We start from the raw sequence: 23,923 nt of genomic DNA, 5'->3' as shown, positions 1-23,923 counted from the left end.
AATGTGGAAAATGAAAATGAGAAAGGAACATTCTTGGTTGTAATTTTCTTAGAGCAGAATGACATTTCAGCTCTAAGAAGAAGCATCATTTTCTTAGAAACGACACAGGTCCAGAGAAATACTGTGACTTGCCTAAGGTTGCACAGATCTAGAATCCATGATCCCGGCCAGATATCTTCAACTTCAGTCTTATTTCCACTGTATTGATTCTTTGATTCTATTTTCTAGTTCATTAGTTTGTCCAGTGTGATTCACTAATAACTACAGCAGGGTTAATCATAATAAAGTCAGTGAATTATTCTAGACACTCATGAAGTAACTGCAATGTGAAGCCTCTGTAAAGAACTTTTAAAAAAGTAATCCTGCTTTATTCTCACAACAACAAAGAAGGGAATCATAGGTATTACCCACATTTGAAAGGACACAAGATATTTTTATCCATATGGATGTATTATTTAAGTTTCTGTAGTTAGAAAATGAAGAACCTCAGATAGGAATCTCACATGTATGCTTCAAGAACTTGAAAACCTTAGTCTTTTTTTTTTTGATACTCACTGGTGATTTAGTAAACCTTTTTCTCCGCCTTGAATTTACAATTTGAGTTTCTATATTTAGTCTGTTTTCTCAGAATTTAGCTTTTTACTAGAGGAGCAGGCTACAAAAATGACCCCTATTCTTTACCCCTTCCTTTGCCCTCTGCAATGTAACATTGCAGTTTCTTCCATCAAGAGGTGAGATCCCTTTGTTGACTGTCTTTTGTTTTGTTTTTGAGATGGAGTCTCACTCTTTTTGCTGGAGTGCAGTGGCATGATCTTGGCTCACTACATCCTCCGCCTCCCAGGTTCAAGTGATTCTCCTGCCTCAGCCTCCAGAGAATCTGGAATTACAGGCACCCACCACCATGCCTGGCTAATTTTTTTTGTATTTTTAGTAGAGGTGAGGTTTCACCATGTTGGCCAGGCTGGTCTCCAACTCCTGACCTCAGGTGATCCACCGGCCTCGGCCTCCCGAAGTGCTGGGATAACAGGCGTGAGCCACTGTGACTGTTGTATTTAGACTAGTTTTGTGACTTGCTTGGCCAATATAATGCAACAAAAGCTAGTTAGCACATAGCAAAGCAAGGAGACAACCTACAGAGTGGGAGAAAATATTTGCAAACTATTCAACTGACAAGGGGTTAATAGCCAGAATATATTAGAAATTCAAACAACTCAGTAGAAAAAAAGTCAACGAATAATATGATTTAAAAATGGGCGAAAGATCTCAGTAGACATTTCTTAAAGGAAGACATACAAATTGCCATCATCAATAATCATCTAAAAACTGCAATTCAAAACCACAATGAGATATCATCTCACTCCAGTCAATATGTCCTTTATCAAAAAGACAAAAAATAATGGATTCCAGTAAGGATGCAGAGAAAGGAGAATGCTTGTACACTGTTGGTGGGAATGTAACTTAGTACAGCCACTATGGAAAACAGTATAGAGGTTTCTCAAAAAACTAAAAATAAAACTATCATATGTCCCAAATAAAGGAGATACATATCCAAAAGAAAGAAAAATCAGTATATCCAAGAAATATCAGGACTCTCATGTTCATTGCAGCGCTAGTCACAACAGTGAAGATATGGAATCAACCTGAGTGTTCATCAGTGGATGAATGGATAAAGAAAATGTGGTCTATTGGAATATTATTCAGCCATAAAGAATAAAATCCTGCCATTTACAGTAACATGGGTAGAACTGGACGACATTATGTTAAGTGAAATAAGCAAGGAAAAGAGAGACAAATATTTCATGTTCTCATTTATGTGTGCAAGCTAAATAATTTATCTCATAGACATAGAGGGTAGAATGATGGTTCTCTCATAAAATTGGAATTACTCCATAATCTCCCTGTTAACCTACTTTTTCAATTTACCAACATATGTAGACTTAAAAAATCAATAGGTGTAGACTCTCTTTGTGGTATTAATAGTTATGAAGTACTCATTTAAATAGTTATGAAGTACCACAACACATTTAACTAATTAGTTTTCCTTGATGCTTATGTGGTTACCAACTGCTCACTATTTAAGCATCAGGACAATAAACATCTTTGTACAGTTATCTCTTTCTCAGATCATTTCCTTAAGAAAGATGTTGAATGGTTAGTCAAGGGGTATATTGAAATCAGTGATACATATTGCATGATTATCATCTGAAAATGAAATATCAATTAACATCTGTATCAAGATTGCTGTCTTGAAAAGTTTGTGAGGGCAGAAGACTGAAAATATGTATTAGGACTTCCTTGCATTGCTGTAAAGAAACTATAAGACACTGGGTAAATTATAAGTAAAGAAGTTTAATTGGGTCACAGTTTTGCAGGATGTATAGGAAGCACAGCAGCATCTGCTTCTGGGGAGACCTCAGGAGGCTTCTAATCATGGCAGAATGCAAATGGGGAGCAGGCTCATCACATGCTGAGAAGGGGAGACAGAGTGAGAGAGAGTGGTGGGGGCAGTGCCACGTACTTTTAAACACACAGATCTCATGAGAACTAATCATCATGAGAACATCACCAAGTGGATGGTGCTAAACTCTTCATGAGAAATCTGCCCCTAAGATCAAACCACCTCCCACCAAGGTCCACCTCCAAAATTGGGAATTACAATTAGACATGAGTTTTGAAGAGGGACAAAAATATGAACTATATCAACCATATAGACTAGGTCTGTCTTCCTGTATACACTGATTATAGTATAATGATAATTTCCCATTCATCCATATTGGAAATTGTCAAATGACCATCTTTTACCTTCGCATATTTCTACTGAATTATCTTAAATATTCGTTATCATTTGTAAAAGTGCTTTATATAGTAAAGATATCCCCCATTGTCATATATATTCTCAGACAGGTTACAACCCATATAAGTTTTTAACAATACCTCAAAGCAAATTTTAATTGTATATGTATTCTATCTTCTCGTATCCTCTGTATTTATCACAGCTATTACTGTATATTTTAAATTGTTTGGGTTTTATCATTTTTGACCAAATACTTGAATTGTCTAGAGCATAATAGCACTGAGGCCAAAGTAGTGGAAGCTGGCTATGATTTTCAAAGGTTTTAGAGTAAATTCCTTAGCCAAACATGCCAAGACGATCTTGTGTCCCTGGGAAAAACAATTATGGCTAAGAACAATTAAGTCCACTGGTAGAAAGATAGCTTATTGCATAAGTTTTTATCCTCCAAATAGGTCAGTGTTATCTTGGCATACAAATGATGTCACATTATTAATGAAAACCAATAGAGAAAATATTTTTAAGGCTATCAAATTGCTGAAAGTCAGAGGTCAAACTAAAATGTATTAGAAGCTGTCAAAAACATGTTACTTCCATGATCATAGACGTCTTTCAATCACATTGAAAAATTATCAGAACAAACTGCAAAGTTTTTAACCTAAAAGGACTCTCGAACTTAAAAAAAAAAAAAATAAAAAAAAAATAAAAACCTTCTTTAAAAAGAAACCTGCATGTTGAATTCTGTCACTCTTCTTGTTTAAGAAGTATTAAGCCTTTTAAAAAACCATGGTAATGAGAAGTAGTTCTGTCATCTGTGGCAAGTTTATGTATAAATTTTGTATACCAGCAAATCCGAATACATCTGCTATTAAAAGCACAAGTGTGCCCCCTTCTGAATAAATGAAATATTGAGTCCTGTATTTGCACTTAAAATAACCAACTCCCTTCTTTCTGGACAAAATTGAATAAACAAATCTGGGCAAATACTAATGGAGAGTTTTAAGAGCACTCTTTTCTCGAAACATTTATGATTGGCAAAATTCTAAAAGAATATTCAGATGAAATCTGCTACATCTTTTCATATGTGTTTGTTTGTTTCCACAGCTGGAATCCTCTAAAATAAGTCACATGGGAAAAAATTCTGATCTTATTCTAGACGAAGAATGAAAAGCCAGGAAGCTACATAACCCAAGGTAGGGTGGAAAGAGTTGGGTAGAGAGTTGGCAACTGTTTTGGAAACCGAAATAGTGTTAAAGATGTCAGAAAAATGTGAAGTGACATTCCACTAAGACTGTTCAAAGATATTTTGAAAGACACTAGCTACATAAGCTAAGTACCTTGCGTTGACTTAAGTTTGACTTTGTTCTCTTAGTTCTATAGCTGAGACAAGTCCCAGAAGGATTAAGTAGGTTTTGGGAAATTAATTAATGACTAAGTCATACTTGTATATCTTCATTCAAGTGCTCTATCTGCCAGAAAACATAGTGATCCAAATGACTATTCTGGTATATTAATGCGTGTTTAATAGGTTACATCTATAAAATGATTTATTTCAATCCAGATTCTTCTCTTATTTCTCCTTCTGTAAATTCAGACCTCAAAACAATTTTTGACCAAAATATGGCACCATGTTTGATATACTTCTCTTGGGCAGTGTGACACTTGACTATTTTGAAGTATCATGGAAATAAAATGTGGATGATGATGAAGATGATTATGACAATAGCAATTGTTATCAAAGTGAAAATGTACTTTGTCATAACATTATTAAAAGTTGACAGTTAAATGATAACTTAAATCATAGTTAAATGATATCCTAAGTCAACTGATAAGCAGGAGTGAACTTCTAACCAAGTTCTCCAATTTATAATCAGAGAATGTTGTACTTTGTCTTATATTTGCTGTTACGGTGGCAAAAATAATTTGTCTCATTTTAAACACAAAGGCCGACTGATTAAACCTACAGCTACTATTGCTAGTTTTAGTGGGACTGGTAGCTACATCAGTTACTTTCTAAAATTCTATAAATGTAATACATTAGAAAAATTTCTCTATATAATAATGTATAGAAATTAGAAAACAAAGGCAGAGACTGATGAAATTTGTATAAATATTTAGGATTTTCCTCTCTTTAGCAAACCCATTCACTTTGTGGCCATTTGATTTTGGTCAGATCTATTTTTTCACATGGTATTTAAAATTCATATCCTCTAAGAATGAAGTACATTTTTCTCATTTTCTTTTATTTATTTCCAGTGCATTTCCAGAAATCACTAACTTCTGACATTATCAGAACTTTGGATGAAATAAACACAGGTTTTTGAATGAAGTAAACATAGTCTATCACCAGTTTAAATTCTTTTCCAATACTATTCTTTCATGATTCTATAAAGATTCTACACAGAATCTTTCCAACACTATTACTCAATAAATTCTCCAGAATACTGTTAATATACTTACAAAGTGTTGAATCTTTAAATTGCTGTTCTCAATGGGTAAAACTGACTGATAAAAGCACATTTATAAATGTCAGTTGCCATATGGTTTACACTTTTGCTAATGATCAATCACAAGACTAAATCAATCATTGGACAAATACCATTATAAAACTGTGAAATGTTTACGCCAACTCTCTTCTTCTCTCCCCAAGTAACATCACTAATTTGTGCCAATATTTACGAACATTTAACCCATACTTCCTTTCCTGCTGTAAGATTCAAATTTACCAATTGCATTTAGAGTGGCTACCTATTACTTGGCCAATGTATTCTTTTCAAAAGAACATTTATTGAATCAACATATATAAAATATCTCTTTGATTTAATTAATAGGCATTGTGTATTCATTGCCAAAAATATGTTCTCAACTAAAACATACCCTATGATCATCAACTCACAGAGTTTTGCTGATCATTCATAATTGTGCAATGAACTATCTTGTAGAATAAACAACCTCCACAGTTCTTATTTTGAAAAACTTCAAAACGTTCAGACTAGTAATTACATTGAATAATAGCTTAATTTAAATTGTAAAAGACCTCTAGTGGATTGTTTATTTCATTTACACTGTGTGATATGTTTTATACAGAGAGAAGTTATACATACTCATGAATCAATGTGTACAATGGAGAATTAATACTGAAAACAAATGTATTTTATTCTACTTTTTAAAAAATTGTTGAAATGGAGCCCAGCCTTCCCACTACCACTTGTTGCAACTCCCACACTTCATATGTACACCACCTCTTTCCTTGACCCTTGAAAGACACCATGTGGTTTTCACCTGAGAATGATATAAATATGAACACTCTAATATTACATTTTGTCAGAAGGTTTTGTTTATGTATTTATTTTGTGAATTCCTGATGTATTATCAGTATGGCATCCACTTGTCTTTCTTAACTGTGAATCACTTTTCAGTTGTGAATTTGTTATCTGTAAATCACAAACTATCCTTTTGGCCTGGGCTTAAATAAAAAGCCCAAGATGCATAACTGATTGATCGCTATATTCCATCCCCTAGACTACAGAGCTTGATTCAAGAATGGACACCAACTAAAACCAGTCCAGTCTCATTAGGGTATTGCAAATTAAAACAACAATGAGATACCACTATTAGAACGGTACAATCCCAAACACTGAAAAGGACAAATGCTGGCCAGGATGTGGAGTAAGAGCAACTCATTCATTTAGATAGAAATGAAAAAAGGTATGGCCATTTTTGGAGACAGTCTTGCAGATCCTTAGGAAGCTAAACATAGTATTACCATATGATCCAGCAATTACTCTTGTTGGTACTTCTCCAAATGATTTGAAAACTTATGTCCACACAAACCTGCACACAAGCATTTCCAGTGACTTATTCGTAATTGCCCAAACTCGGAAGCATTCAGGATATCCTTCGATAGGTGAATGAGAAAACAAACTGTGGTATATCCATGCAACACAATAACACCCAGTGATAAAAACAAGTGAGCAAGCCCTCAAGCCACACGGAAAGGAACTTTAAGTACATATTGCTAGGTGAAAGAAGCCAATCTGTGAAGATGAAACATTGTATGATTCCAACTATATGACATTCAGGAAAAAGGAAAACTCGAGAGACAGTAAAAATATCACTAGTGGCCAGGAGTTTGGCAGGAGGGAGGAAATGCTGAATAGGTGGAGGACAGAAATTTTAGAACAGTATTCTGTACGATACTGTAATGGTGAATAAATGACATTACATATTTGTCAAAACACTTACAAACTCTACAACACAGAAGGTGAACTCTAATATAAACTATGGACTTTAGTTTATAATGCTATATCAATACTGGTTCATCAGCTGTAATAAACGTACCACATCAATGCAAGATGTTAATAGGGAAAACTGTGTATGGAGGGGTTGAGAATCTTTGGGAACTGTCAGTATTCACTGCTCAATTTTTTGATAAACCTAAAAGGGCTCTAAAAAATAAAGTCTATTAATTAAAAAACAACTGGTCAAATGAATCATAGTTACAAAAATTCTGTAGGTATTACTTGGAAAGAAAATCACAGGAAAGACTTCTTAGGGACTATCACGTGAAGAAAGCCTGCCCATAAATAAAGCCAATATCAGTTAAATTGAGGTGAATAACAGGAAAAGAGTGAGAAAGAGAGATAGAATCTTGCATATTCTCTTCCCTCTGAAGGCAAGCTGTGCTTGAATCCAGAGCCACCTCTAAGTCTTTCAATCTATGTCTACCTCTAAGCCAATAGAGCCTCTTTAGGTCAGAATGAGTTGGGTTTTCTGCAACCAAAGGATCCTGAATAATACAGTTCCGTAGGTACAGATAAATACTGCAGTGCTAATTTTATTTTTTTTAATAATTTATTTAATTTCTAAGTTGATGGAGATGGAGTGCTAGTTTTAAATTATCAGTTAGAAACACAGCTCATTTCTAGAGTGGAGAAGGGAACATTTCCAAATAATGTTGATAATAGACCCCAAGAAATTCAGTTAAAGACAATGAAACAGCTTTTGTTTAAGTAGTGTTATTAGCACTGGCTATGAAAGAGTTCTAGATAGTTAATGGAATTCCCGCAGTGGCTGCTGTGGAACAAGTGAAGTCAACATGTGGGTATTGACAATGAGCAGGAAAGGCTCCCAAAGTCAGCATTCATAGCTTCTCTATTTCATTTACTGGGCATCTCTGTAAGTATTTCTTTGAACAAAGGAATGTTCAGTCAAGACAAAGTTTGAGAGACACTATATTTGGAACATGGGTAACTACCAAGTTCAGGTCTTGCTCAGTCCTAGACCTCCAAGAGAACCATGGAGCAGGAACTGAAACCCATAAATGATAACCTGGCAATTGAATTTAGTGGGCATTTATTATTACAACAGATCAATTGGCTGCATCAGGATAACCAGCCAACTTTCTCAGAAGAAACAATAAGCCTCTGCAGGGGTGGAGAGAGATTAGCACCTTGGAAGATCCATTCTGATGTCTTAACACAATAGCAAATGGGAGAAGACATCTACACAGAAGTGGGATGAGAGCATGGACAGAGTGACACTGATCTCAATGTGTACCTTATAGACTGGGGTTCTGTTTTTATGAAGAATCTCTCAAGATGGTCTTTCCAAATTGCTGCTTCTGTGTAATACCTTGTATTCCATAACACTTCCTGGAATAAAGGAATGGATGAATGGTGCCCCCTGGAGTTATTCAATCCAGTGACCCTGCTGCTGTCACACTAACATGAGTACTTCAGTCCCCATATTACCAGCTATTTCAGGTGGGCATTTATGTCTCAATGCCATGATGTTAAAATGACTTCCTGCCAAAGTCATGCTCCCAATCATCTTGGGTCCCCTCGGAATCCAAGATTATCTTCCAGTCTAGTTTCAAGTCCTTATTTCCCACCCCAGGTTTTCTCAAGGCAATTTCTAAAAAGTTCAATTTAATTTAGTTTTTATATTAAGTTTCATTCCTGATCACCAAAACCCTTGCTTTGGGAGAAACATTTATGTGTCTATTGAAAGACTTGCATACAGCTATAGTAATGTAATAATGATGATGACAAACACTATAAAAATAATCATTTATTGTTGTACCACACTGTACTTCTTAAAGATTTTGAAATACATCATCCCATTCTAGGAGCTTCTAATTTCTAAATGAAATGTTGACTGACTTTTCTAAGGTGTCCAGAGGATTCCTCCTCCAAATAACTGTCTATTTATCAGGTACAATTGGCAATTCTGCCAACTGGGATTCCTGCTGCTAATGTGGTTTCCCACATTGCTGTGTAGGAAGTAATCGTGACATCAGCTTCTGAACCAGCCATGGAAATAGCAGATCTCACACACACCCACTCTCTGCAAATCATCATGGACAGTTTTCCTCTTTCATGTTTGTAAAAGGGGGAGCAGATGATTTGTGTTACTTGAGGGGGTGGAGATAAAAATTCTCCAGCTATTTCTTGCACATCACAGCCACGGAAAAGATTTCAAGAAAGATTTGAAGCAGAAATGAATAATTTTGAACTCAGCTCCTGCCCCTACTGCTCTCTCAGGAAGGGTGCATAATAATGTTTTTTTCTTTTCATCTCAGAATGCTGGCAAATGTGTCAGGGAATGAGGATTAATTCATTTCAGAAAAAATCTTTTTAGTCATAAGAAACATGGAAAGCAATTTTTATGAGCATTCTGAATGATTTTTTTGATGTCAATAGTATTGAAGATTAAAAAAATTGCAAATTGAAGCTCTACTTCCTTTCTAATTAGTGATGTTTAAAGGCCAATGTAGTTTTTAGAGCAGCATCTGTACTTTGATAAATGACATCCTTCAAAGAATAGTTTCTGATAGATTGAACTATACAGTAATTTTGTTACAGAATTTCTTTCTTACCAACACTTTTATGTGATCATGAACATGCTTCTTCACCATTATGTCTAAAAAATAATCCACATCATAGCTCATTTTTCATCTGTAAGATTTTTGGCTTTCGAGGTACTTATTTGAAAGCTAAATGAGGTCTTACAGAAGACTCAAAAGAAACAGTTCTGCCTGTTAATATCTACACACATAAACTTCATGACATCACATATAAGTTCAAACACATTTTTCTTTACAGACTCTAATATTTTTACTGTTACATGGAAACAATGTCATGTTATATTTATAGGAAAATGCCTAGACATGGTCAGAGGCTCCTGTTGTGATTAAATGAGACATAAGACTGCTACTTTATGAAAGGGGGATGTGGTCGGGACAATGTCAAACAAATCAGAACCAATCATGGGGCAGCAAGATGGGTATTTTTTAAGACTTTATTTTTTAGAGCAATTTTAGGTTCAGAGTAAAATTGAGATAAAGGTACAGAGATTTCCTGTATATCCTCTGCCACTACACTTGCATACCCTCCCCCACTATCAACACCACCCTGCCCAGAGTGGTGCCTTTGTTATAATTAATAAACCTACGTTGATAACATCATTATCACCAGAGTCCGTAGTTTATACTAGGGTTCACCCTTGGCGTTGTACATTCTATGAGTTTGGACAAATGTATAATTACATAAATTCACTGCTGTAGTATTATACAGAGTAGTTTCATTGCCCTAAAAATCCTCAGTGCTCCACCTATTTATCCCTCCTCCCCAAAACCCTTGGCAACTACTGATCTTTTTGCCAACTCCATAATTTCGTTGGTTATTTCTTTTGACCAGCTAAAGTGGTTTCACCATGTGAAGGGTAAAGCCAGCTAGCTTCCAGTGGACTTGACTCACCAGTTTTCAAATTACAAAATTCTAACTATATTTTTGCTTGAGAGATTTTTTTATTCAAATGTTATATATAAAGTAAAAGTATTTTGATATATTTAAGTTGCTCTCTATTTTAAATTCGCGTGGTTCCATTTATAAAAATGTGGCTCCACTGGTGCCCAACACATGGAAGATTCTCTCACAGGATAAATCTGACCTTTTGCTGTAGCTGTCCCCATTCATGTTCTGTGACACTCATCTCTTTGCCCACTTCATGAAAGAGAAGTAAAGACTGTTTTACTAGAACAAATTATCTATATTGTCCTTGCCCCCTACTAAGTAATATTTAATTTATCCTTCTGGCATTTGGTCTACCATGTGAGATCCAAACAGAAGAGATTCCAAATTTTTATTCCTGTGTTTCTAAACAGAGAACACAGAAGCACATTCCATCTATAAGAGCGACTCTTTATAGTTCCTATTTCACACTGCTGTATCAAAGAATGACTTTAGTTCTACGCATTCAGAATGCATCTTAAACAGGCATAAAGAATAATGTAATTGTACGTTTAAAAATAACTACAAGAGTATGACTGGATTGTTTGTAACACAAAGGATAAATGCTTGAGGTGATGGATACTCCATTTACCCTGATGTGATTATTACACACTGTATGCCTTTATTGAAATATCCCATATACCCCATAAACATAAACACTTACTATGTACCCACAAAAAATAAAAATTAAAAATAAATAAAACAAGTGTAAAGAATGATTGAACACTAAGACATTTTGCTCTGGCGTGTTTTGTTCGTTTGTTTTTTGTTTTTTTCCAGAGATAGGGCCTTGCTCTGATGCCTAGGCTGGAGCGCAGTGGCACAATCACAGCTCACTGAAGCCTTGAACCCTGGGCTCAGGCAATCCTTCTGCCTCAGCCTCCTGAGTCCTTTGAAATACTTTTGAGCTAGCAAGAAAGAACTTTGGAGTTTACATAATGTAGGACTACATGCACGAGCCACCATGCCCAGCTAACGTTTTTAGAGACACGGTTTCCATCTCCTGGCCTCAAGTAATCCTCCCACCTTGGCCTCCAGAGTCCTTTGGAGTATTTTTGAACTAGTGACAAAGTACTTTAGAGATTACATAATCTAGTCCATTCTGTTTTATAATGGAAGATCCTTAGTCTCAAGGGAGTAAACTTAATTGTCCCACCCAAATTTCTAATCATATAAGTGACAGTCCAGTCTACCGAATCCTTAAGTCCACACAGTTCACAACATAAGTATAATTTTGCCTACTTGTTTATTAACTTATCATCCCCATATGATATTCAATAAGAGTTACAGTAGACGAAGGACAGACTTGTTTCCAATTCTTTTGGTCCAGATCTTCTGATCTGGAATAAGATCACCTGGGTTTGTAACCTAGCTCTGCCACTTACTAGCTGAACAGGTTACTTAAACTTATCATGTATCTTTTTCCGTATCTTTAAAATGGAAAATTTAGTACCAACCTCTTAGGGGTGTATGTTGAAATGCATAGCAGAGAGAGTGTTTAATAAATTTTAGCCACGACAGTGATTAGTATTAGCATTATCCGGCCAATCTGTTTCTAAATAAACAGGCCATAGTAGAATTTTCATCAGATCTTTTCTGTGTTGTATGCAACCTGCTGGTCTTCATTTCTTCCCTTTACTTCTCTGGAACAAAAAATGTAATCTGAAAAAAATTATAACAAACATCTAAATTGCATGGTCCTAAGCAATATATCTTCTACGGGATGTGTATGGGAATCCTATCGCGTACTATCCAAAAAAATTCATGCAAGAGAATTAAGTATCTAATAAAATAAAAGAAACATACCTAAAAAGAAATGACCAGAATATTTCTCTCTTGACTTGATACTGATTTTTGTCAAATGGTTTATGAGTTCTCTAGGAAACTTCTTGCAAATTTTGTATTGATGACTATGACATTCAGTCTCCAGTGGAAATACTACATAAACACTACTACAAGAAATGACAAAGCCATTGTTTATTGTTCTAAAAAGTATCGTTTTAGAACCCTCTAGGGAAACTATTTTCTGTAGAAAGTGATGTTCATGAAAACTTTAAGCATTGATTCAATCAATAAAATGCATCTATCTGCAAAAGTAATAGATTAAACGTGAAATTGTTGTTAACCAATTGATATGTGCAAATGGAAATGAGAATAATTGTCAATCTGTATTCCCCATGTGGTACAAAATCTCCTTGGGTCACAACGAAGTAAATCATGTTGGCATAAAGTTACTTTTCCCATACTTTGCACCATGTCTCAAATCATAGCACATTATTATTTATATGTTATATATATATACAACACACATACCTGCCAAAAGAAGTAAAAGTGCTGGGAGCTTTCTGTTTGTTTGTGTTCGTTCAACTCTGCATTCACATTCAAAAGCTTCCTAGGATTGTGTACCAAATTATTAGTATCAACTCTCTTAAAATTTGAAGAATGTTTTTACTAAACAATTCACTTATTTCCATTGCTCACAGGCATTCTAGAATACAGCTTTAGAGCACAGGGTTCTGAGTTCTGGCTCTAGGTTCTACTGGAATTCAACTACTTTCTAGATCTAAGCCTCAGTTTTCTGAAATTTAAAGTGAGGGCAGAAATAACATACATGTGGCAAAACTGCTCAGCATAGATGCCTGGAATATAACTAAGCACACACAATATATGTGTGTACCTGTGCATGTGTGTCTGTGTATATTGCATACATGCATGCCTTTTATTTCTGTTTTCAATTTTTTAGGTAATGCTGAAGTTGTATTTGTTCAGAAAAAGTCAATTTTTTGTAACATTAGCCCAAACCAGCTCTTTTTCCTGGTTTCCATTCTCCTTGGCCTTTCAGATTTTGAGTGCTTTTTTTTTTTTTAACAGTAGGCATTTAATAACTATGTATTGCAATGATTATGAGTCCTTTCTTATTTAGGGATATCTGAATCTTCCCTTCCTCTCCTTGGAGACCATATTTATTTATTTTTACTTTTATACCTGACGGTCCTGATTCTTCTGTTACTCATTTATATCTGGGAATCTGCCTCCTTTTCTAGCTCAGTGAAATTCTACTGCTGCAATGCAGTGTTTCCTGGCCTCTGCGCTACTGATATTTGATGCTGGATACTCCCTGGTTGCTGGGGCTTTGTTGTGCATTGCAGGATGTTTAGCAGCGTCCTTGGCCTCTACCCAGTAGATGCCAGTAGCATGCTCCACCCCCTTACAACATTCAGCATTGTCTCCAGACATTATTAAGTAAATGTCCTCTGAAAAAATTGCCTCCAGTTGAGAACCACTGCTGCAATGTACTGGTTGACACATACACTTTAGAGTTAGAAAGCAACATGTTTAAGTCTTGATTCAGTCCTATCACCTGATTTTGAAAAGAGTAGGCGTTTAATAAGAACTTGTTAAATAAAGGCTGAAAACTATGATAACCACTTAACCTTTCCAATCCTTAGTTTCCTGATCTGTGACGTAGGAATAACAAAACACCTATTTTTAGAGAGATGCTTTAATGGCCTTAAGTGGGATTTAGTGAGACCTTGTATTTCAGCTGCTGTGTTTCATTTGGGTATCTGAAGTGGCTATGAAAATGGGATTAAACTTGTAAGAGTTTACCTAGGGGAAATGTCCCTGTGAAGGACAACGGAAGGGACTTAGGGAAGTCTAGAAGAGCAGAGCCATCAGGAAGCAAGTCTGACTCCAAGGAAAGCGAGGAGGAAAGGAAGATTGGGTACAAGTGTCCTGAACTGCCATGCAATCTAAAGAAGTTTCAGCAAGGCTGAAGGGGAGTCCTGGAGCAATAATCAACCATCAGAGGAGTCCTTCTTGCCTTGGAATCCCTGCCATGCTCTCACCTCCACTGGGAGTTGTCCGTGGGAGACCAGGCCCTAGTGCAAAGAGGGTAGTAGATTGCAGAGCGAGGCAGCTGGGGCTCTTCCTCAGTTATGCTCCTTGTGGTGGAGGTCTGCTGGGTGCTTGCTGGTGTCTGACAGCTACCTCACACAGTGCTTAAAATAGATTGGGACATTATTATGATAATTAATTATTATTATCATCTTTGTTATGATTACTAGTATTATGAATATGAAAACCTCAACCTATACCAGTGCCTCAACCCACGGCCATCTTCTGAAATTCTTTATTACATGTTATTTACACCATATTTTGGACATTCGTTAGACATCTCTATTTGGAAGCCTATTAGGAATCCTGAAATTAACATGTCCAAAACTACATAACCTCATTTCCCCCTACCCTGGCCCAACTTTTTCCTTCCCATTCATCACCAGTTCAGTAATGGGCACCATCATCGACTTAGTTGCTCAGATAAAAACTTCCGGAGTCATTTTTGACTCCTCTTTTTCACACACTGTGTCTGATCCCTAAGCAAATCTTGTCACTTGGCCTTTAAAATACATCCTGAATCCAACTATATGTCTCTTCTTCATGTTTTGTCCTTCATTCTGACTGGCAATCATCATTTCTCTCTCTTTCTTCTCCAGAATAAAAATTTGCATGGAGGAATAATAAATGATTAAACAGCAGGGGCCTAAGGCCTAACATCATTGCCAAGGCCAGAGGTTGACAGACTTTTTCTTTAAAAGTTAGATAGGTAAACAGTTTAAGCTTTGCCAGCCAAGAGGCTACATCAAAAATATTATGTAGGTACTTCTATAACCATTTATAGGGGAACCATTAAAAAATGTTAAAAATCATTCTAAGCTCTCAGGCAATGAGCTACATTTGGGTCATGGGCCATAGTTTGCCAAACACTGACCTAAACCATCATCTCTCAACAAACGGGTTACCTTTCTTACGTCTTATTCTCCAACAATATTCTTCGCAGGAGAGCCAGAATAATGATTCTTTTATAATAAGATTTCATTTCATCCTGTTTCCCTAAACCTTCCTATAGATTCTAGTAATGATTGTTATAAGATTCAAAATTCTTCCCTTGGCCCATAAGGCCCTATATGATTTGTCTCCCACTTCACTTCATCTCTCTGACATCATTTCCCACCACATCACATCTTGATTTGTGTCTGTCCTGCAGCCACACGGGTTCTTGGGGTACTTTGAATGCCACTCACATGTTCTGCCTCGGGGCCTTTGCACTGGTGTCTTCCTCTGCTCTTCCCCGACGGCGCCACCTGGCTGCTCTCTCACGTCACATACCCCTCTGCAAAAATCTCACCTACTTGGAGAATCCTCCCATGAATGCCCTAACTTGTATATCACTTCTCTGTCACCCTCTCTCCTCTTACTCTTCATCATGTTCCTCCATTATACTTATCATTGCTAGATAACTTGCTCATTTGTTGGCAGTTTTTGTCTTCCCCTAGAATGTTAGCTGCAAAATATGCTGGGCTTTGATGGGGTTCACAGGATGTCTCCATGCCAAGAAGAGTTCCTGATACTGAATATAAAAAACTCTGATTTTTTAAAATAAACAAACAAGTAGGGTTTAATGTCATTTTGAATGATTTATTGCATTTTCTAGATTAATCCCAAGCACCTTAAGTTTTGAATCCTATCTTTCATTTTCTTCTATTCTGTTACTGCTATGTCTTACACATGATCTGTGCTAAATGTTTACAACCATTAAATACATATGACATATTATATATGTTATATGGATTTACTTTCATTAAAACACATTTTCTTTTTTTGTCAATAGAAAAAAAGTCTTTTTTCTTTTCTTCTGATAATAAAACTAGTGTACACTGACTAGTAGAGAAAAAGTATAGCAATAAGGTATATAAAAATTGAAAATTCTCTAAAATCTCACTTCTAAGAGATAATCAGTGAATGAATTGATTTTTTTTTTTTTTTTTTTTTTTTTTTTTTTTTTTTTTAGGCAGAGTCTTGCTGTCATCCAGGTGAGAGTGTAGTGGCATTATCTTGGCTTATTGCAACCTCTGCCTCCCAGGGTTCAAGTGATTCTCCTGTCTCAGCCTCCTGAGTAGCTAGGACAACAGGTGTGTGCCACTATGCCTGGCTAATTTTTATATTTTTAGTAGAGACAGGGTTTCCCCATGATGGCCAGGCTGGTCTCGAACTCCTGACCTCAGGTGATCCGCCTGCCTCTGCCTCCCAAAGTTCTGGGATTACAGGTTTGAGCCACCGCGCCTGGCGGATATATTTCTTTAGTGTTGTTTCTATGCATGTATTCCTTTCTTTTCTTTTAATAAAAATAAGATAACACGTTCCATAATTCTTTAATGGCTTATGGACTTTTTAAATTCAGTTAACGCTAGGTTTTTAATATCTTTTCATGCCAGGAACTTATAATTTGAGACTTGGATTTTGAAAAATATGTGAGAAAATATAGAAAATCCATTAATTAGGATACTTTGGGATTAAATTATTGTAGAAGTGACAAGTATAGGATTTTTAGTGAGCAAGAGATGGCATTTGGGGATCTAAATGCATAGGCATTGAATTATAGATGGAGTTGGGAGAAAAATGTCATCTGTAGGTTAACAGGCTACCTAAAAGATACAGATTAACAATCTGAATTCTACAAGAATAAGAATGAGATCAAGCAGTATAATAAAGGAAGAAGTAGCAAAATTACAACAGAGCAGTGAAATGGATATGCTTTCTGGCAATAATTGTGAAAGGTCTGGTAATGAGAAAGTAGGAACAGCTAGTGGCTGCCACATAAAGAGAAAATAAACGAGACTAAATAGCTCAAGTTATAGCATGATGACTTCTTTAACAATCTGGAAAAGGTTTTGAGGAACATTTAACCATAGACCAGATATTTTATGTGCAAAATTAAGGTTAGAAAACTTATTTTCTTTTTAATGTGAAGATATACATTTCAAATGCAATGTTACTGCCTTTTATAACCTAAATTATTATTACTAGTATTATCTTCTTCCAGAACTCTTGAGTTTAGTTAGAGCTGCCAAACATTTTCACATGATAGAAGTGATGCATTAAAAAGTAAAGTAATAGAAAAAGAGTTTTGCTATTTTTTATAAAGGGGCTGTTCAAATGGAATAGTTTCTTGCTTATGTGGGATTATAAGAGTTTGCAGTGACCAGTCTTCATGGTGTGCTTTTTCTTTAAACTTCCAATTGCTTTATGCTCAGGTATTGAGTTTCTACCTTGATTTCCTCCCTGTATAGCTGAGATGCTGAGAGATTCTAGTGTAATCCTTTAAGCCAAATGCTATTGTTGCTAAGGCGGGATTGAAGATATATATATAACTCCTATTTGGGATGTGACTGTTTATTTTATTTATTTTCCCCTGGCTGGTGGAGGGAGCCCTCCGGGGACATTCTGAGTCTGTTTAAATGAAGGTATGCTTAGCGTGTGTGGACTCCCGCGTCATCCTTTTCAGCCAGACTTATCAAACATAACTTTACACTTTATTACATGAAGGGGCTCATGTTAAGAATCCAGATACGTATTTTCTCACTTTTTACACTTCCCAAGTGGTCTCTCATCACTTTTCTTCCCAATATTTACATAGATATGGTCAAAAAGGCAGGATCTGTACAAGTTCATCCACCTCCTAAAAAAGCTTAGTGGTCCTGATAATCAGCAATGATAGGAATAGATGCCTTCCCAATGTCTTTGAAGAAAAGTCGCTTAGAGACCATACATTTCATTTCATATTTTCACTTAGACTCTCATTAGTATGTCCTTTTATCCATCAACTTCCTTGATGTGCCATGACAACAGAAAAATTTACGGCAACCCTTTAGTTGAATCCCAATGTATTCAAATTCACAGGAGGCATTTCATCTAGAGCTCATGACGAAATGCCTGGGAAACATAACTGTCTCTACCTGACCCCCAAATTTTGCAAATCCCATTACCTTACTAATGGCATTTTATATCTTTAAATCTTTTTAACCTTTTCAAAGCACTTTCAGATTTATTGATTTTTTGTTCAACTCAATGAGATCATATGACATGCTAAACACAGAGTTGGGGGCAGAAGAAATAGTAAAGTACGGTCCAGCCTAAGAGGCATCTAACCAGCTAAACCTGGGGCAGAATGGATGAACTGCGGTACTGACCATGATTCTCCAAGTGTGCTCCCACATCAGCAGCACCACATTTTAAGAAATATGTTTCATGAACATAAAGATGGTAACAATAGACAGTGGGGACTACTGCAGGGGGTAGAGGGGGAGCAGGGCAAGGACTGAAAAACTACCTATTGGGTGCTATGCTCACTACCTGGGTGATGGGATCATTTGTATCCCAAACCACAGCATCTTGCCATATATCCATGTAATAAACCTGTACGTATACCCCCTGAATCTAAAAGTTGAAATTATAAAAGTTAAAAATAAAAACATAAACTTATAAAAATTATAGAAAAAACACAGAAGCATATAAAATAATTTTGGAAAGTTGCATGGGCATCTCACATGCCTGGATGAGAATATTCAGCATTGGTATTATTAAATCAAGCTAAATTTCTGTATATACGCAAGTTGTTTCCTATCAGAAAAAAAACGTTGATGAAGACAGACGAGAGGAAACTTGCACTTGCAGATATTCCATCTTGATTACGTACTAATCAAGAGAACGGTCAAGAACTGGTGGGGGAAGTAGAAAAGTGACTGATGGGCCGGGCGCGGTGGCTCACGCCTGTAATCCCAGCACTTTGGGAGGCCGAGGCGGGTCTGTCACGAGGCCAGGAAATCGAGACCATCCTGACTAACACAGTGAAACCCCGTCTCTACTAAAAATACAAAAAATTAGCCAGGCGTGGTGGCGGGTGCCTGTGGTCTCAGCTACTCGGGAGGCTGAGGCAGGAGAATGGCGGGAACCCGGGGGGCGGAGCTTGCAGTGAGCCGAGATCGCGCGGCTGCACTCCAGCCTGGGAGAGAGAGCGAGACTCCGTCTCAAAAAAAAAAAAAAAAAAAAGTCACTGATGAATCTACACAGATAGCAGTGCTGCATTATATCATTTATATAATGATATTGATACATCTAAATAGATAAGTGAATACATGTAGTAGTTATACCAGATAAATATTTGTTACTTATATGATGCAAACATTTGTTATATTCAATGATAGCATTTTACTTTGTGAGATTATGACACTTATTAAACAAAGTTTGTGAAGCTAGAAAAAAAAAACAAAAACAAACAAAAAAAGAAAAAAGAAAAAAAAATGTATTAGAAAGGCACTCTTACACCCCCACCCAGAGTAGTGGAATCAGAGACTTGGGGAAAAGCGGCTTGGGGGGCTAGCTATCTATGTGTTAATAAGCTCCCAGGTTTCTCTAAAGCTCATTAAAGTTTGAGAAACACTGGGTGATATATTAATAGTAAGAATATTTTTCAAAGTGAACACTGGAACAATTTGCTCAGGTATGGGGCTCCCCTTAAAAACTGGGTCATGTAGTTACAATGGCTAAAAAACCAAAAGCTTTCAACTGAGGTGATTTTGCCCTGGAGGGGACTTTTGGCAATGTCTGGAGACATTTTTGATTGTCATGACTGGGGGCGTAAATCATGCATTCAAAAAGAAGAGGCCAGAGATGCTGCCAAACATCCTACAATGTACAAGACAGCTCCCAAACACAAAAGAATTATCTGGACCAAAATGTCAAGAATACCAAATTTAAGAAACCCTGAAATAGAAGTAAAAGAGGTTGTGAGAGCAGAAAAGAAGAAATGGTTCATTTCTAAGGGAGTAAGGCAAAAACCTAAAAAGAAATCACAAGGAGGTGGTGATTTGGCTGAACATTAAAGGACTAGAAGATTTCTGACCAGGTTAGAGAAGGTGGTAGAAGGTGGGTGTAGGGAGAGTGGAAGAACGGGGAGTTGAGATTACCACCTGCTGTAAATAAAGCAAGGGAAGTAATGACAGATGTGATTCCAACTCTCTTAGCCAATCACACCTCCCCACTCTATCTCCTTCAAATATATCACTGGACCACTTTTTCCCCTCCTTCCATGGGGACAATGTCTTTCGTGAATTTCTTCGCATTTCTCTATGTCAATTTTTTCTTGCTTAATTAAAGATTCAGTCTATGCATCCATTTCTACACCATCATTGCCTTATAGTTCTGAGTCACTTTGGTATGTCTCAAAATACTTGCATATTTTATCTCATTTGAGGGCAAACAGTATGAGACAATCGTTTAGGAGTGTGAGACCTGGATTCAAAATCAGATTTAGCCTGGATATGAATCATGGCCCTATTGAACTCGAGGATATGGTTTGTGGTGAGGATAGAATAAATTGATACTTATAAAAGAACTAACACAGTGCCTGGAAAATAGGAAAATCTTCATACATGTGAACTGCTATTAATAAAATACTCATATTATTATATTTTGCACCAGTGCTATGAGGCAAATAACAGATGTTCCAATTATTGACCCATGAAGGCACTGAAGCTCTGAGAGTATCAACAGCTGATCCCAGATGACCAAACACATTTTTGTGAGACTAGAATCTGGGTCTCTTGCTGGTTTGAGGTTTTGACTTTTACTCCATGGAGCCAGGCACAAGCACATATTCATTATACAAATTTAAACAAAGATTTGAATCTTAGGCAGCTTAAAATCTACCCTTCAATTAAGGAATGGAATTTGTACAATCAAGCTAGGATGTATATATGTCACTACTTGGTAATGACAAAATGATAGCAGGGAATGGGGAAGTTTTATCCTGGGGGAAGTTGCTTAGATATGGTCATTTCATTAACACTGCTTGAGCTTCTGCTTGTGTCCAGAGGTGGGGAGGTATAGTAGATACAGAGGCATCCTCAAGGAATTTATAGACTAGTTCAACACAATATGTCATATTTAGACACAGGATAGATACTATGGAAACCCAGGAAATGATCATCAAACCTGCCTAAACATGTTGGTCTGGTCAGAATAGGTGTTCCAACTTAAGTTCCTGAACTTAAGAAAGAGCTAACTGCATGAAGAAGCAGTGTGTGGGCTGGGATCCCATTCAGACCTACTCATCTTCAGTCCTTCTCTGTGTACTTCTCAAAGATGTACAGATGCAAGATGTGGGCCTAAAACGCCCACAGTTTGGAAATGCTCCTTCAAGTCCATACTTGTCACAAATTTCATAAATTAAAAGGCAAGACTGGAAACTGCCCCTTCTCAGGGGTGACGATTGGCAGCAAGATGGCGTCTGCCAGTAGGGTCGTTCAGGTAGTCAAACCACACACTCCATTAATAAGGTTTCCTGACAGAAGAGACAATCCTAAACCCAATGTATCAGAAGCTTTGAGATCAGCAGGGCTACCATCTCACTCTTCTGTAATTTCACAACATTCTAAGGGATACATCACCAGATTTGCTAATGTATCAGGGTCCACCAGACACTGCAGAAATAATAAAAACATTACCTCAGAAATACAGAAGCAAACTTGTGTCTCAAGAAGAAATTGAATTTATCCAATGTGGAGGTCCTGAATAACCATGGTGGTTGCTGTTTGTCATCAAACAATAGAATTGTCTTTACAATAAAGGACTCCCAAAATGGCAGATGAGAAACTATACATTAAACGCCTTTAATAAATATTATGAAAAAAATGAAATATAGAAAATTTAGATGGACACTTGTATTTTCTAATTTATGTATCTTGGTCAACTTCTCCACAAGCTTACCTAATTGTTTATATACTTTATACTTATTAAAGTATACATTTCTAAATGTTAGCCTATTAATTTACTCTTGATTATCAAACATTACCAGTGTTGAACTATTAAAAGCACACAATGTATAGTAATCTATCATAGGATTCCCATAATTTCACTTTTCTTTCTGTTTAGACATGGAAAAATTTATCAGTCAGAATTGCTGTTTTAGGGATATGATTTTCCTGAAATTGGGTGAGGATCAGTGAAATAATGACTCTATTACTTGCTCTTAATTCTCTGTTCTCTAATGTTTTTTCATTCACAAGTTTACCGGAGTATAACTGGCTTAGTAAGTATATCCTACTCTGAATGATAAAAATACAGTCAAGCTAAAATAGGTGACTATACTATTAAGACAGAGGAGATCATACAAGAGATTCCAAAGAAAGTCAAAGAGTATAAAATGGAAAATAATTAAGAGACCAAAATGAATATAGCATAAGAATAAAGATTTCACTAGAAACTGCAAATTATTATGTTTTGGAGGTTGTAAGGAAGTCTCGTTCTTTGGTTTATTTTACTGTTTTGTGATCTTGCATGCAAATCCTGATAACTATTAACTTTCTCAAACTTCATGTCTGAAAGCCTTATAAAATCAACATAAATATTTACTTATAAAAAAAAAAGGCAAGACTGGTGACCCTAGTGTATAAATTCATTTGAATGTCTGTGTCTAAGTCAGTACAAGCAGCTTTCAATATATATTCTGATTTTGCATTCATTTGTGTAAAGGTTTGTAAAGTGAAAAATAATAAATTTTCACCTTAGTAAATCAGTATTCACAGTGAATACATTCTGTTCACAACTAAGTAACATATACGATCTGAGGTTTACAATCACATTAAATATTTGTTTTACATATAAGAGTAACAAAATGTCCACAGGACAAGGAAGGAGGGAAACTGGATTCTAGTCTGATGCCTCCAAAGAACTGGCTGACCTTGAGCCAGTCACTTCCTTTTCTGGGTCCCATTATTCCCTTTTATAAAAGAAGGAATTAATAACTTCTTAATATTCTCACATACATTTTACTATACAAGACAGTTCCAATTACATAGAATTAGACATAACATTTAAAGATCCCAGAAACATACAAAGAGTTAATTCTTGTTCTCTCTCTCTCTCTTCCTCTCTCTGTCCCCATTCCTTTTTTTTCAAATCAAATCCTCATCCAAGCACATACTCTTTTTTATAACGTATTAGAAAAAATATTGGGTATCTGAACATTATGACTACTTAGAATTTCTCTATATTAATTTTATAACATGTCTATTGTAAACTACTTATTTCTCAATCTAACTTTTTCTTTTTCAAAACAGAGGCTCACCAGAGGTATTAGAATAGAATAGCAAATGGAGGTTATCTTATTGTAACGCATATGCACATGCACACATCGACACTCATTTACATGCACACACACCACAGCTGGCTGCCAAACATGGACAAAAGGCAATAGGCACATTTTTCATGTGCGTAATTGTCACCATAATAGCGATTGTATTTAAAAGACAATGTAAAATGTCATGTCTGAGTGGTGACTCAGCTCCTGTCGATCTAGATTTATTTTTATAGAAAGAGCAAATGGAAATCAAGATGAAATGTTTGAGCAAAACTTATTGCTGTCTAGAAATCACTCAAACAATGGTTTAATCTTATCGTCTATTTCAACTACTCTCAAATTATTTTATGTCTCCATTCT

The 23,923-nt window shown here is 36.2% G+C and overlaps 2 long non-coding RNA genes and 1 pseudogene across 3 annotated transcripts in view; 2 read left to right on the top strand and 1 right to left on the bottom strand.

Moving 5' to 3' along the window:
• Positions 1 to 23,923, top strand: part of GRM7-AS3 (GRM7 antisense RNA 3) — a 173,092-nt gene that overhangs the window by 10,413 nt on the left and 138,756 nt on the right. For both annotated transcript variants that reach the window (NR_110123.1, NR_110125.1), the window contains exon 2: positions 3,896 to 3,984. This is a non-coding gene — a long non-coding RNA (GRM7 antisense RNA 3). The remainder of the gene's footprint in view (positions 1 to 3,895; positions 3,985 to 23,923) is intronic.
• LOC105376943 (uncharacterized) lies at positions 10,782 to 14,591 on the bottom strand. The gene is made up of 3 exons (XR_940580.3): positions 14,433 to 14,591; positions 12,898 to 12,976; positions 10,782 to 12,246 (listed from the first exon to the last, which is right to left on the bottom strand). It is a non-coding gene; the product is annotated as an uncharacterized LOC105376943 (long non-coding RNA).
• Positions 21,667 to 22,200, top strand: MRPS36P1 (mitochondrial ribosomal protein S36 pseudogene 1; annotated as a pseudogene).

This window comes from Homo sapiens, chromosome 3, assembly GCF_000001405.40.
Source record: "Homo sapiens chromosome 3, GRCh38.p14 Primary Assembly".
Taxonomy (NCBI): domain Eukaryota; kingdom Metazoa; phylum Chordata; class Mammalia; order Primates; family Hominidae; genus Homo; species Homo sapiens.
Note: the sequence above shows the minus strand (reverse complement) of the source record. Positions and strands in the feature narration are given on the sequence as shown.